This window comes from Homo sapiens, chromosome 17 (assembly GCF_000001405.40).
Source record: "Homo sapiens chromosome 17, GRCh38.p14 Primary Assembly".
Lineage (NCBI taxonomy): Eukaryota > Metazoa > Chordata > Mammalia > Primates > Hominidae > Homo > Homo sapiens.
Window position 1 is genome coordinate 20,106,814 of NC_000017.11, and position 13,206 is coordinate 20,120,019.

At 40.4% G+C, this 13,206-nt stretch overlaps 1 protein-coding gene and 1 pseudogene across 26 annotated transcripts in view; both read left to right on the plus strand.

The window, feature by feature from the left end:
- The window catches only part of SPECC1 (sperm antigen with calponin homology and coiled-coil domains 1), a 309,668-nt gene that overhangs the window by 97,455 nt on the left and 199,007 nt on the right, over positions 1 to 13,206 (plus strand). For all 26 annotated transcript variants that reach the window (NM_001386083.2, NM_001386078.2, XM_047437065.1 and 23 more), the window contains one exon: positions 3,614 to 3,749. In NM_001386083.2, the coding sequence (NP_001373012.2) occupies positions 3,614 to 3,749 (136 nt within the window). The remainder of the gene's footprint in view (positions 1 to 3,613; positions 3,750 to 13,206) is intronic.
- KCTD9P1 (potassium channel tetramerization domain containing 9 pseudogene 1) lies at positions 4,822 to 6,374 on the plus strand (annotated as a pseudogene).

The window sequence follows — 13,206 nt, forward strand, 5'->3', positions numbered from 1 at the left end:
ACTAATACAGTCCAGTTGCTAAATTAGGGGACTGTGCTGTTGTTCAGAAAATGTGGTCGTGGGCCAGGCGTGGTGGCCCACGCCTGTAATCCTAGCACTTTGGGAGGCTGAGGCAGGTGGATCACCCGAGATCAGGAGTTTGAGACCAGCCTGGGCAACATGATGAAACCCCGTCTCTACTAAAAATACAAAAATCAGCCAGGTGTGGAGGCACACGCCTGTAGCCCCAACTACTACTTGGGAGGATGAGAATCAGGAAGGCAGAGGTTGCAGTGAGCCGAGATCGCATCACGGCACTCCAGCCTGGGCGACAGAGTGAGACTCGTGTCTCAAAAAAAAAAAAAAAAAAAAAAAAAGAAAAGAAAAACAAAAGAAAATGTGATTATGCTGACATCTAGTAACTGGAGTTGCACACAAATCATCCTTTTAATGTGAATTACTTGTTTTTAAAGTTAATAATTTGTTTTGAAATCTTGACCAAGATTGCATGGCTAATATGAAGACATCCACCATCAGGCTGGGAGTGGTGGCTCATACCGATAATACCAGCATTTGGGAGGCTGAGGTGGAGGATTGCTTGAGGCCAGGAGTTCAAGACCAGCCTGGGCAACATAGTGAGATCCTGTCTCTTCTTTTCTTTTCTTTTTTCTTTTTTTTTTTTTTTTGAGATGGATAGACTGTTTGCCAGTATAGAGTGCAGTGGCGCGATCTCGGCTCACTGTAACCTCCATCTCCTGGGTTCAAGCGATTCTCCTGCCTCAGCCTCCCGAGTAGCTGGGATTACAGGCATGTGTCACCACACCTGGCTAATTTTTGTATTCTTAGCAGAGATGGGGTTTCACCATGTTGACCAGGCTCATCTCGAACTCACCTGGCTAATTTTTGTATTTTTAGTAGAGATGGGGTTTCACCATGTTGACAAGGCTTGTCTCAAACTCCTGACCTCAGGTGATCTGCCCGTTTTGGCCTCCCAAAGTGCTAGGATTATAGGCATGAGCCACTGCGCTCGACCATGTGATCCCACCTCTACAAAAATATTTTTAAAAAATTAGCCAGGCATAGTGTTGTGCACCTATAGTCCTAGCTACTTGGGAGGCTGAGGCAGGAAAGCCCAGGAATTCAAGGCTGCAATGAGCCATGTTTGAACTACTACACTCCTGCCTGTGTAACAGAGCAAGACCTTGTCTCTAAAAAAACAAAAAGACTTCTACCGTCATCCCTCTTGTTAAAAGGCAATGGCGAGTTACTGTTTAATGAGTAGACTTTATTTGTGATGGTAAAAATTTCTGGAGATGGATGGTGGTGATGGTTGTACAACATGGTGAATGTATTTAATACCACTGAATTGTGCACTTAAAATGGTGAATTTTATATTATGCTTATTTTAGCACAGTAAAGTTTTAAAAATTACAAAAAAAAGGAAAAAAAAAAAACCCAGAAGGCTAGTATTTGCAGGAGTGGAACTAGGACTTTGCCTAAATTGCAAACTTCCTTCACTCCAATTTTCTTTTTCTGTTTTAATGAAGCACAGCATATTTACAATAAAATCCATAAAGTACACTAATCTTAATCTTAGCTATAAAGCTCATTGCATGTTTATATTTTTTTACACTTGTGTAACCACCACCCTGTCAATATGTTGAACGTTCCAGCACCCCAGAAGGTTTCTTTTTGGTTGTAACTCCCCGAGAGGTAACCACTATTCTGACTTATATTACCATCATTTGATTGTGCAGCTTTTAAACTTAATACAAGTGGAATCAGGCAGTATATACTCTTTTGTGTCTGCTTCTTTCACTTAGCATAATACCTGGGACAGCCACCCATTTATTAGTATATCAGTAATTCATTTTTTTCCTATTTGCTGTGTGGTTCTCATTGCATTTATCCTCTCTGTTGAAGGACATTTGGGTTGTTCTAGTTTTGGGCTGCTATAAAAAAGGTGCTATGAACATTCTTTTGAGGGACCTATGTACTTGCTTCTCTTGGGTGCGGATCTAGGAATGGGATTGCTGAGTCACAGGGAACTGTGCGTGCTCACTTAGGAGTCTCCCTTCTTCGACTTACTGCCTTTCAGCAAATGTTTGTCCTACCCCTTTCATGACAGGGAAGAAAGCAAAGCAAGAGCAGAGGGTGTTGCTTTCTTCTATTTTCCAGCCTTAGCGTTAGTAGATACTGCCACTTTCCAAAGCAGTTATGCCAGTTTACACTTCCACTCACAGGGCATGAGTGTTCCAGTTGCTTCACAGCCTCACCAACACTTGGTATTGGTGTTTATTCACTTTCAAACTATGGTGGGGTGAGGGTGGTTACACCCTGAAATTTAAATGATGCAAAGATGGAAACTTTAAAAAATTGTGCAAATATTTAAACTTCTAACTCTCAGTAAATGACCCCAAAGCCAGTGGAGTAGGATGGAGCAGGGCTTTTCCCTTCAGCCTGTGTGATGGGCGGGGCTCGCCCACTGCATATCGACATTGATTTAAGGGCTTTTCCTTACTGTGTGCTCTGGATGTCAGATACATTAGACAGCTTTGGGCAGCTGCCTTCTCCAGTCTTCCGGCACTGTTCCTCTCCAGAGCCTTCTTTCATGAAGACCCAACAGTAGTTGAGAGAATTCAGTTGTGGTTTTTCTCATTAACGTTGAATGTAATCTATCTGGGCCTGAAGTGTGGATCACTTAGGAGTCTCCTTTCTTAGACTTCAGCACCTTTTAGCAAATGTTTGTCCCATGACAGGGAAGAAAGCAAAGCCAGAACAGAGGGCGCTGCTTTCTTCTGTCTTCCAGCCTCCAAGATTTCCTTTCTCACCTTTGAACACATTTTCTGTGTCAGATCATCTACAGAATGCTTGGTGGTGAGGCCACAGCAGATACTCAGATTGTTTCTCTCCCTCCACCTCCTCCTGGCCTATGTCATGAGCCTTTTTTTGTTGTCCTGGAATTTCTTTTGCATTGCCCTACCCTGCCTTTTGTGCATCTCCCAGTTCTTTTTTCATTGGTTCCCATTCTTTTTTTCCCCCACCAGGAGAGCAGATTTATTTTTTATTTAAAATTTTTGTTTAGAGACGAGGTTTCACTTTGTCACCCAGGCTGGAGTACAATGGCACAATCATAGCTTACTGCAACCTTGAACTTCTGGGCTCAAGCAATCCTCTCACCTCAGCCTCCTGGGTGTCACCATGCCCAGCTAATTAAAAAAAAATATTAGCGAGACAGAGTCTCACTGTTGCCCAGGCTGGTCTTGAACTCCTGAGCCCAGCAGTCCTCCCACCTCAGCCTCCCAAAGTTCTGGGACTACAGTCGTGAGTCACTGTGCCCAGCCACATTTTTTAAGGCTCATTACTTGAAGTGTGACCTGATGGTATTCTTCACGCACAGTCTTAGACACTGCTCTTTGAAACAGTCATGGGAGATCATACTCGGACCTGTTATGACAGAAACAGGTTTGTGTAGCTTTGCATTTTTTCACTTCACTCTATCATGCTACTCAAAGTGCTGTTATTGTATCTTGACTGCTGGGCACATAGCCCAGCTCCCATGCTCTGCTTGTTTATAGCGCTCCTTCCTGAAAACCACCTCTTCATCCTCTCTCTTTCCTTCCAACTCTCTCAGCTCAAGAGGGCCAGCAGTGAGGACACGCTCAACAAGCCAGGAAGTACCGCTGCATCGGGGGTGGTTCGCCTGAAGAAGACCGCCACTGCCGGAGCCATCTCGGAGCTCACGGAGAGCCGCCTGAGGAGCGGCACAGGTAGGAGGGACCGGGCAGGTGGGCTCGGCAGGCCATCAGTCCTGGCCGCATGGAAGCACTTCAGTGACCCATGACCCATCCATTCCTTCCCTCGTGAAATATTTCTTGACCACTTACCCTGGGCCGGAACTGTTTTAGGCAGACGATGTCGCTGCCCACAGGGAGTTTACATCTATAGAGTGGGGAGACCGATGAGAAGCAAAAGGTAACTGGGCGTGCTGTGGTTTCTTTGGTCCCTTCGGAGGTCCATTTGTCACCATGCACGTGTGAAATCCTTCTGACATCCAAGCAGGGCGGCATATGTTCTGGGGCTGTCTTGATACAGAATGCATTAGAGGAATGAATGAACCCTGTTGATCCCTTGCGAAGGTGGGTGTCTAATATTTGTACTGAACCCTATGGAAAGCTGGGAAGAGCCTCGCCCAGCAGCTGTGGAAGGCTGCTCAGAGTGGCTTGGACGGCAGTGGCAACAGGAAGCTGTGAACCTTCTCAGTGTTACTCATTTTTTAAGAATCAGAAAAGGGTTTTTCAATCATTATATTTGAGTTCAGAGCATGTGAAACATGAAATATCAAAGAATTTATTTAATTCTCTCTTTGTGCATATAGATAATAACTCTTAAGCTTTCATGGCCTAACTCTTACAGTGCAGCCCTCAGTGTATTGCTAAATTGTCTAAGACGGGAAAAATAACTGAAATACATCGTTACTAATTTTTAATGTGTTGAAGGGGCACTTATAATTTTTGTGCTCTTTTCGTAAAAGTCACATTCAGGCTAGATCTCAAAAGGTATATTTTAATTTATCAGTTTTTAAAAAGTTGAATCTGTGAAAACCATACAAGGTATTCTTTTCTTGGATATAAAGGGAATGGCCTGGTTTTTCTATATAATGGCTTTACCATTGTAAATACTGATATTGTATTAAACATACACACACACTTGGTTTTTAAAATACAATAAACAAAAGTACCATTTATTTTTATCAAGCCAGCCTAACAGTGATCCCAAAAGTTAATAAAGCCCCACTCAAAAAAAGACAGACTGGGAGGAGCCTAGGGGCAGGGTGGGAATGAGGACCAGCCGAGTCCCGGGTGTGGGACAAATTGCGTGTGTGTGGTGTGTCCCCAAAAGCAGGAAGGTGGCGAAAGGAGGCGAATCCCAGTGGGTGGAGGGAGGGGAAAGGCGGAAGGAGAAAAAGGTGGGAGGAGGATCGGGTGGGAGGGTGGTGGCTCACTCAGGACCCAGGGGGGGGGCAGCGCGATGAGGTGGGTGGCCCTGTTCCTGAACGGCAGCCCCAAGAAGGGAAAGGTGGTTGCTGTATGTGGAACTTTATCTGATTTGCTTTCTGTGGCCAGTGGTAAACTTGGCATAAAAGCCACCAGTGTGTATAATGGCAAAGGTGGACTGATTGATGATATTGCTTTGATCAGGGATGATGATGTTTTGTTTGTGTGTGAAGGAGAGCCATTTATTGATCCTGACAGATTCTAAACCACCTGAGGGATTGTCAGGATTCCACATAGACTGGCTAACATTAAATGCTGGAGGGGCGGTACTTTACAACCACACAGAGCACTTTAGTGAATAAAGAACCTGATAGTATGCTGGCCCACATGTTTAAGGACAAAGATGTCTGGGAAATAAGCAAGATCACAGAGGAGCTTTCTTAATTGACCGAAGTCCTGAGTACTTTGAACCCATTTTGAACTACTTGTGTCATGGAGAGCTTATTGTACATGATGGCATTAATTTATTGGATATGTTAGAAGAAGCAAGATTTTTTGTATTGACTCATTGATTGAACACCTAGAAATGGCAATAAAGAATTCTAAACCACCGGAGGATCATTCACCAATATCCTGAAAGGAATTTGTCTGATTTTTGCTGGCAACTTCAATCAAGTCAGAACTGCGATGCCAAGGTTTGAACTTCAGTGGTGCTGATCTTTCTCATTTGGACCTTTGAAACATTAACTTCAAAATGGCCAGTTTAAGCCGCTGCAGTCTTGCACATGCAAATCTTTGCTGTGCAAATCTTAAACAAGCTGATCTCTCTGGATCAGTGCTTGACTGTGCAAATCTTCAGGGAGTCAAGACACTCTGTTCTAATGTAGAAGGAGCATCCCTGAAACTGTGTAATTTTGAGGATCCTTCCGGTCTTAAAGCCAATTTAGAAGGTGCTAACCTGAAAGGTGTGGATATGGAAGGAAGTCAGATAACAGGAATTAACCTGAGAGTGACTACCTTAAAAAATGCAAAGTTGAAGAACTGTAACCTCAGAGGAGCAACTCTGGCAGGAACTGATTTAGAGAATTGTGATCTGTCTGGGTGTGATCTTCAAGAAGCCAACCTGAGAGGGTCCAACATGAAGGGAGCTAGATTTGAAGAGATGCTAACACCACTACACATGTCACAAAGTGTTAGATGAGAATTTTAGGGGCTGGAGGAACATGTACAAGATGAAAATGTTTTCCTTATCACTTTTCTTTCTCCACCCGCTCAGTTGTCTAGAAGAAATAACACTGTAAGGAAGTTAAAAAAAAATTTAGAGGATTATGCTTGTTCTCAGTGGTGCATAAGGGAAAAAATTGACTTTTTTTTCCATATTCTGATTTTTAACAGAAAAGCACTCATTTAATAGATATAGGGAAACTAGATATTGCTGCCTTTTGAACAGGGTAGGGGGGTTTACCTGGTTTTATGACCAGGAATAGTATCTATTACATTTGCTTTTAAATAGGCATGATGTGGAAATACCATCTTGGTTTGAGATGCATTTGAGGATTTTAATTTATGGAAAGCACAACATATGCAATTTATATTTATTGAATACTAGATGCAGTATGGATATTTAAATTGTAAAAACTTTACGAAAACTTGGAAAAGGTTGTTCAGGTTTATAAATAGCTTTAGTGATGCCTCCTTCTTTAAATACTTGTCACAGCATATGAATATGGTAAGATCAGACTCCCTAAGACTCTTCAGGTTCATTTTTATAATGTTTACTTTTTAGAACAAAACAGTAGCTAAATTACAGTAATATCCAGTTCTTACTGATTGAGACAGAGTGGAAAGAAAGACATCGTTGTACATCACTGTCATTCCAAAGGTACAGTGGAACTCCGGATGGAGGAAGAACTTACCTATCACTACAACACTTATAAATGAGCATTTCTCAGAATGTCATTCTAGGCAAGTTCCACTCAACACCAGACCAAGCAATTCTGTCTATTCACACTATTAGCCTAGTTTTCTCATACAATCAGCACAAGCATAGGAAGATACTTCAAAACCAAAAAACCAAGGTGCACCATTAATATTCATTTAATTCAAATACCAAATAGTTTTACATAGGGCCATCTTAGAAATAGATATTAAATCCAGATCTACTGCAATCAAAGCTTACACAATATGAATGAATATGGTAGAGTTGCCTGTTAAAAGGCAATGTAATATAATTGCTGCTAGAACCCTACAGTGGGGAATGAGGAATTTTAAACATATATTTGATTACAGCCACCAAAAAAGTATATATAAAGAAAGTAAAAATAAAGGCATTTGGCTGGTCCAAGATGTAACACCAATCAGTCAGCACCTATGATTCTTTTACTTACATTTTTTACTTTTTGTTTTTGTTTTTGTTTTTTTGAGACAGAGTATCAGTCTGTCGCCAGGCTGGAGTGCAGTGGCGCAATCTTGGCTCACTGCAACCTCCGCCTCCTGGGTTCAAGCGATTCTCCTGCCTCAGCCTCTCGAGTAGCTGGGACTACAGGTGCACACCACCACGCCCAGCTAATTTTTGTATTTTTAGTAGAGACAGGGTTTCACCATGTTAGCCAGGATGGTCTTGATCTACTGACCTTGTGATCCACCTGCCTTAGCCTCCCAAAGTGCTGAGATTACAGGCGTGAGTCATGGCGCCCAGCCTGTTTTTTTTTTTGTTTTTTTTTTTAGTGAAATTTAGCCTGTTTTTCTTGAGTCATTTTCTCTCTGCAACAGTAGAGGAAGGGCCTGTATCTCCCTACCAATGACCTGGTGTCCTTACATCTACCCCAAGAGCAGGGATGTTAGCTGTGTCCACAGGGTTCTGAATTCTACAGACTCATCAACATGAGGCAAGGAATCATTGAAAACCACTTTTGTCTCCTTTGGGAGAATGACTCATCTTTAGTATTTATGTAGTGTATTCTTCTATATCTACATATGCAAAGCTTTCTTTGACAGTAAAGGGCACATATGCATAGTGGGAGAAGATCAGACCTTTACAAGTGAAGGAAAGCAACTTCAGAAATGAATTATTTTCTTTGCTTTATTATTTTTACCAAGACAGAGAAGTATTGTATTGAGAGATTATCTATTTTCATAATCAACATTTGCCTAAATTATATTTAAATCATTTCACTTTGTACTATATTTTCAGGAATTATAGAATGTGTTATTCACTCACTTAAAGGTACCTCTGTAGAAATAACCTAAAACTGCAGAAGGATCCGAAAGATATAACATGGTGTGTTTAGAAACTGCAGATTTTAGATCTAATGTATACTGCATTAATAAATGATGTAAAGTGTGGAAAAGGAAAAAAAAAGACTGATCCCATGATCAAATATTAATATAAAAATTTGAGATCAGCCGGGCACGGTGGCTCACACCTGTAATCCCAGCACTTTGGGAGGCCAAGGTGGGTGGATCATGAGGTCAGGAGATCAAGACTAGCCTGGCCAACATGGTGAAAACCCATCTCTACTAAAAATACAAACATTAGCTGGGCGCGGTGGCGGGTGCCTGTAATCCCAGCTACTCAGGAGGCTGAGGCAGGAGAATCACTTGAACCCGGGAGGTGGAGGTTGCAGTGAGCCGAGATCGTGCAACTACACTCCAGCCTGAGTGACAAAGCAAGACTGTCTCAAATAAATAAATAAATAAATAAATAAAAATAAAAAAAATTGGAGATCAAAATATTAGTGCATAGGATTCAACAATAAATTAAAAGAACAGTAGTGTACATCACAACTAAGTGAATTTATGCCACCCAAGAATGGATGAATATTAAGAAATTTTGGAATATAATCTATCATACCATATTAACAGGCCAAAGAAGAAAAACTGTAGTTATCTCTATAGATACAGAACATACATGTGACACAATTAACAATCTTTCTAACAACAAACTCTTGATAGACTATACATGTGCAGAGACTTCTTTAATGATGTGTATGTGTCACAAACAAAAGCCAGCGATTCCCATTAAAGTCAAAGATAATTCAAGGTTGCTTACTATCACCAGTCATCTAAAATTTTCGGTAGATACTAACCAAGGCAGTAAGATAAGAGAGATGTAGAAGTACATAAATATTGGAAATGAGGGAACAAAATGATGATTGTAATCAGATAATAACATTGTATGCTTTGAATTTCCTGAAAATTGTCTTAGAATTTTCTGAAATTCTATTAGAGACAATAAGAGTTCTGTATGTGGCTAGTTGTAGACTATAATATATCAATAACTTTCTTTTTTATTTATTTTATTTATTTATTTTTTTGAGATGGAGTCTCGGTCTGTCGCCCAGGCTGGAGTGCAGTGGCGCGATCTTGGCTCACGGCAAGCTCCGCCTCCCAGTTTCACGCCATTCTCCTGCCTCAGCCTCCCGAGTAGCTTGGGACTACAGGTGCCCGCCACCACGCCCAGCTAATTTTTTGTATTTTTAGTAGAGATGGGGTTTCACCATGTTAGCCAGGATGGTCTCGATCTCCTGACCTCGTGATCCACCCACCTTGGCCTCCCAAAGTGCTGGAATTACAGGCATGAGCCACCATGACCGGCCATCAGTAGCTTTCTTACCAGTGACTAGAAAAGATAATAATGTAAGAAACAGTTCTATTTATAAAGGAATGAAAGGGCAAAATATTTAGAAATAGTGTGAGCATCTATAAAAAAAATCTTAAAACTCTTTTGAAGGAGAAGTCTTATGTCCTTCAAAGAAGACATAAATAAGTGAAAGCATATATGTGATTCTTAGGAAGATTAAATAGAATTAAGATTAAACTTAGTACAAGATATAAAATGTAATAAGGATGTCTGAATTATTCTAAGAATTCCTTTTCATCTTGATTCAGTGGGAATTTGGGAGTGGAAACCTGAATAAAATAACTGGAATTTATCTAAAACCCGTTGTTCTCAATGGGGGACGATTTTGTCCCCCAGTTCCAACCCAGGGAACAATTGGCAGTGTCTGGAGACTTTTTTTTTTTTTTTTTTTTTTTTTTTTTTGGCTGTCATGACTCGGGGCTGCTACTGCCATCTAGTGGGTAGAAGCCAGAGATACTAAACATCCTAGGATGCGCAGGACCGTCCCTGCAGTGGAGAGTGTCCTGCCCAAAAATGTCAACAGTACTGCTGCTGAGAAATCCTGACCTAGCAGAATAAATATTCTAGAGTAACCAGGAAAATTCTGACAATACTAATCAGGGGATTAACCTTAGGCATTCTGGAACTGAAGAGGTGCTAGGCAGCTCAGTGGAACGGTGGACAAAGTGCAGAATACACTGGAAGATTTAGTACAGGGGAAAGGTGGCATTTCATATCACGGTGGATAATTCACTCAAAAATGTGACCGAGTAAGTATTTAGGAAGGAATAAAGCTGGATCCCTATCTCATTCCTCCCATCAAAATAAATTCTAGGAGGATTAAAGATTTAAATATTAAAAAATGAAACTGCAAGACTACAAAGAGAAAGCATCAGAGAATTAATTTGTAGTCTTGGCCTTGGAAGAACCTTTCTAAGTAGGAACAGACACAGAAGCCATAAAGGAAAAGATGAAAAATGTACTTACATAAATATAAGAAACTTCTTTGCAAAAAGAAGAAATTATTTGCAATACATGTAACAAAATGCTTATTTACAAAGAGTTTATACAAATCAATAAGAAAAAGAAAAATAGGCCAGATGTGGTGGCTCATGCCTATAATCCCAGCAATTTGGGAGGCCAAAGTGGGAGGATTGCTTGAGCCCAGGAGTTGAAGACCAGCCTGGGCAACATAGTGAGACCTCATCTCTACAAAAATAAATAAATAAAAATTAGCTGGGTGCGTGCCTGTAGTCCCAGCTGCTTGGGAGGCTGAGGTGGGATGATTGTCTCAAAAAAAAAAAAAAAAAAGAAAAGGAAAAATAATATAATAGAAATATATATAGCGCCCATGAAAAATACAGATGGCTAGTGGAAAGATACTAAGCCTTACTTAAGAAATGTAAAGCAAGGCTGGGTGCGGTGGCTCAACGCCTGTAATCCTAGCACCTTGGGAAGCTGAGGCGGGCTGATTGCTTGAGCCCAGGAGTTCGAGACCAATCTGGGCAAAATGGTGAAACCCTGTCTGTACAAAAAATACAAAAATTAGCCAAGCATGGAAGCGTGCACCTGTAGTCCCAGCTAGTTGGGAGACAGAGGTGGGAGGATCACTTGAACCTGGGAAGTGAAGGTTGCAGTGAACTGAAATCATGCCACTGCACTCCGGCCTGGGCAACAGTGAGACCCTGTCTCACAATAAATAAATAATAAATAAATAAATAAATAAAGCAAAACAACAATTAGATATATAATTTCCGCTAATACATTAGCAAAAATTAAAACAGTTTATCATTTCTGGTGTCATTAAGGGTGTAAAGAGCCACATATGGTTGATGCACAAGGACAAGTTGGTAATATCTATCTAAATCTTAATTTAATCTTTCACCAAGCATTTCTATTATTTAGCACTTAACGGTTACTGATATTCTTGGAAAAGGATGCCAACATGTATGAGCAAGTTCAGTTGCATGATTATTTATAATAGTATAATATGGGAAACAACCTAAGTATGTATTCATACAGGGCTGGTTGAACAATGTGATTTTGGTGCAGTAGAATAGTATACAGGCATGAAAATGAATACAGTAGATTTGTGTGTACTGATAGGGAAAGATTTCCAATATACATTACTAAGTGGGGAAAATAATATGGTGCATATGGTATAACCTTAATTTGGTTTTGGTTTTAGAAGTATATATTAATTATTAAAATCAACTTTTTTTTCCTGGAAGGATGTCAGAATGATTATCTTTGAGGAGAGTTAGCAGAATTGATAGTGGCAGAGGAAAATTTTTTCATTTTAGATTTTCCTGTGCTGTTTGAACATTTTAAACATATGCATACATTGCTATACAAAATTAAAAACAAGGTAAATACAACATAAATTTAGACAATATAAATATAAACTAAACTTTTTTTTGCCTTCACAAAATCCTTCCTCTTCTACTTGCCTTTTGTAGTGTTCTTTAGCCATTTGTTGGTGGATTTTTTTTTATTGTTTGCTTATAGCATCTGCTCCTTTGCACAGGATTCTAGGAAAAGACCTTGGTTTCATATTGGCTCCTAAAGTAGACAAGTTCCCATGCCCCAAGGGGCATTGGCATCCTTTATTTGTCAAAGGAAGGAAATAACTACATATCTACTATACAGTGATGTTGGGAAAAAGGTCTGTGAATAATTTATATAGACTGTAATGAAAAGTAAGTGACAGTTATTATTCTCCTAGTTATACAAATTGTTTGTCAGTTACTTCATTTAAGTGAAATTAAATTATTTGAGTTAATAGGGTTGAATTTGAAAATTACATTTTGTTTCTGAAGCTTTTATTTTTTTAAATTTATTTTATTTTTTGAGACGGAGTTTCGCTCTTGTTGCCCAGGCTGGAGTGCCATGGCGCTCCACAACCTCCGCCTCCTGAGTTCAAGTGATTCTCCTGCCTCAGCCTCCTGAGTAGCTGGGATTACAGGCTTGCGCCACCACGCCCAGCTAATGTTGTACTTTTAGTTGAGATCGGGTTTCTCCATGTTGGTCAGGCTGGTCTTGAACTCCCAACCTCAGGTGATCCACCTGCCTCAGCCTCCCAAAGTGCTGGGATTACAGGCGTGAGCCACCACACCCAGCCAAGAGCTTTTATTTTTAAATGTCAGTAGTCCTCAACATTTTTGTAGCACCTTTGGACAGCTGATACTTTTGTACATTGTCATGCTGTCCCCAGACTGCCTCATTTGGAATAGGTGAATACCAGTCTATTAGGACAGACCATTAGGAGCAGTGGTATGCAGTGCCTGTCTGTTGCAGGTGTTATCACCTCTACAGTTGTATAGTATTGTTTCGGTAATCATTTCAATATTTGATTGCATTTTGTCTATTTTACATGCGTGAAAACGAGGAAAATGAAAGTGCTGGTTGGGATTACAGCAACTAGTTGTACAGGCTGAACATCCCAAATCCAAAAATTCAAAATCCCAAATGCTTCAAAATCTGAAATGTTTTGAGCACTGACATGATGCTCAAAGGAAATGCTCACTGGGGCATTTTGGATTTTGGATTTTTGGATTAGAGATGCTGAACTGGTAAGTATAATGCAAATATTCCAAAATAAAAAATCAG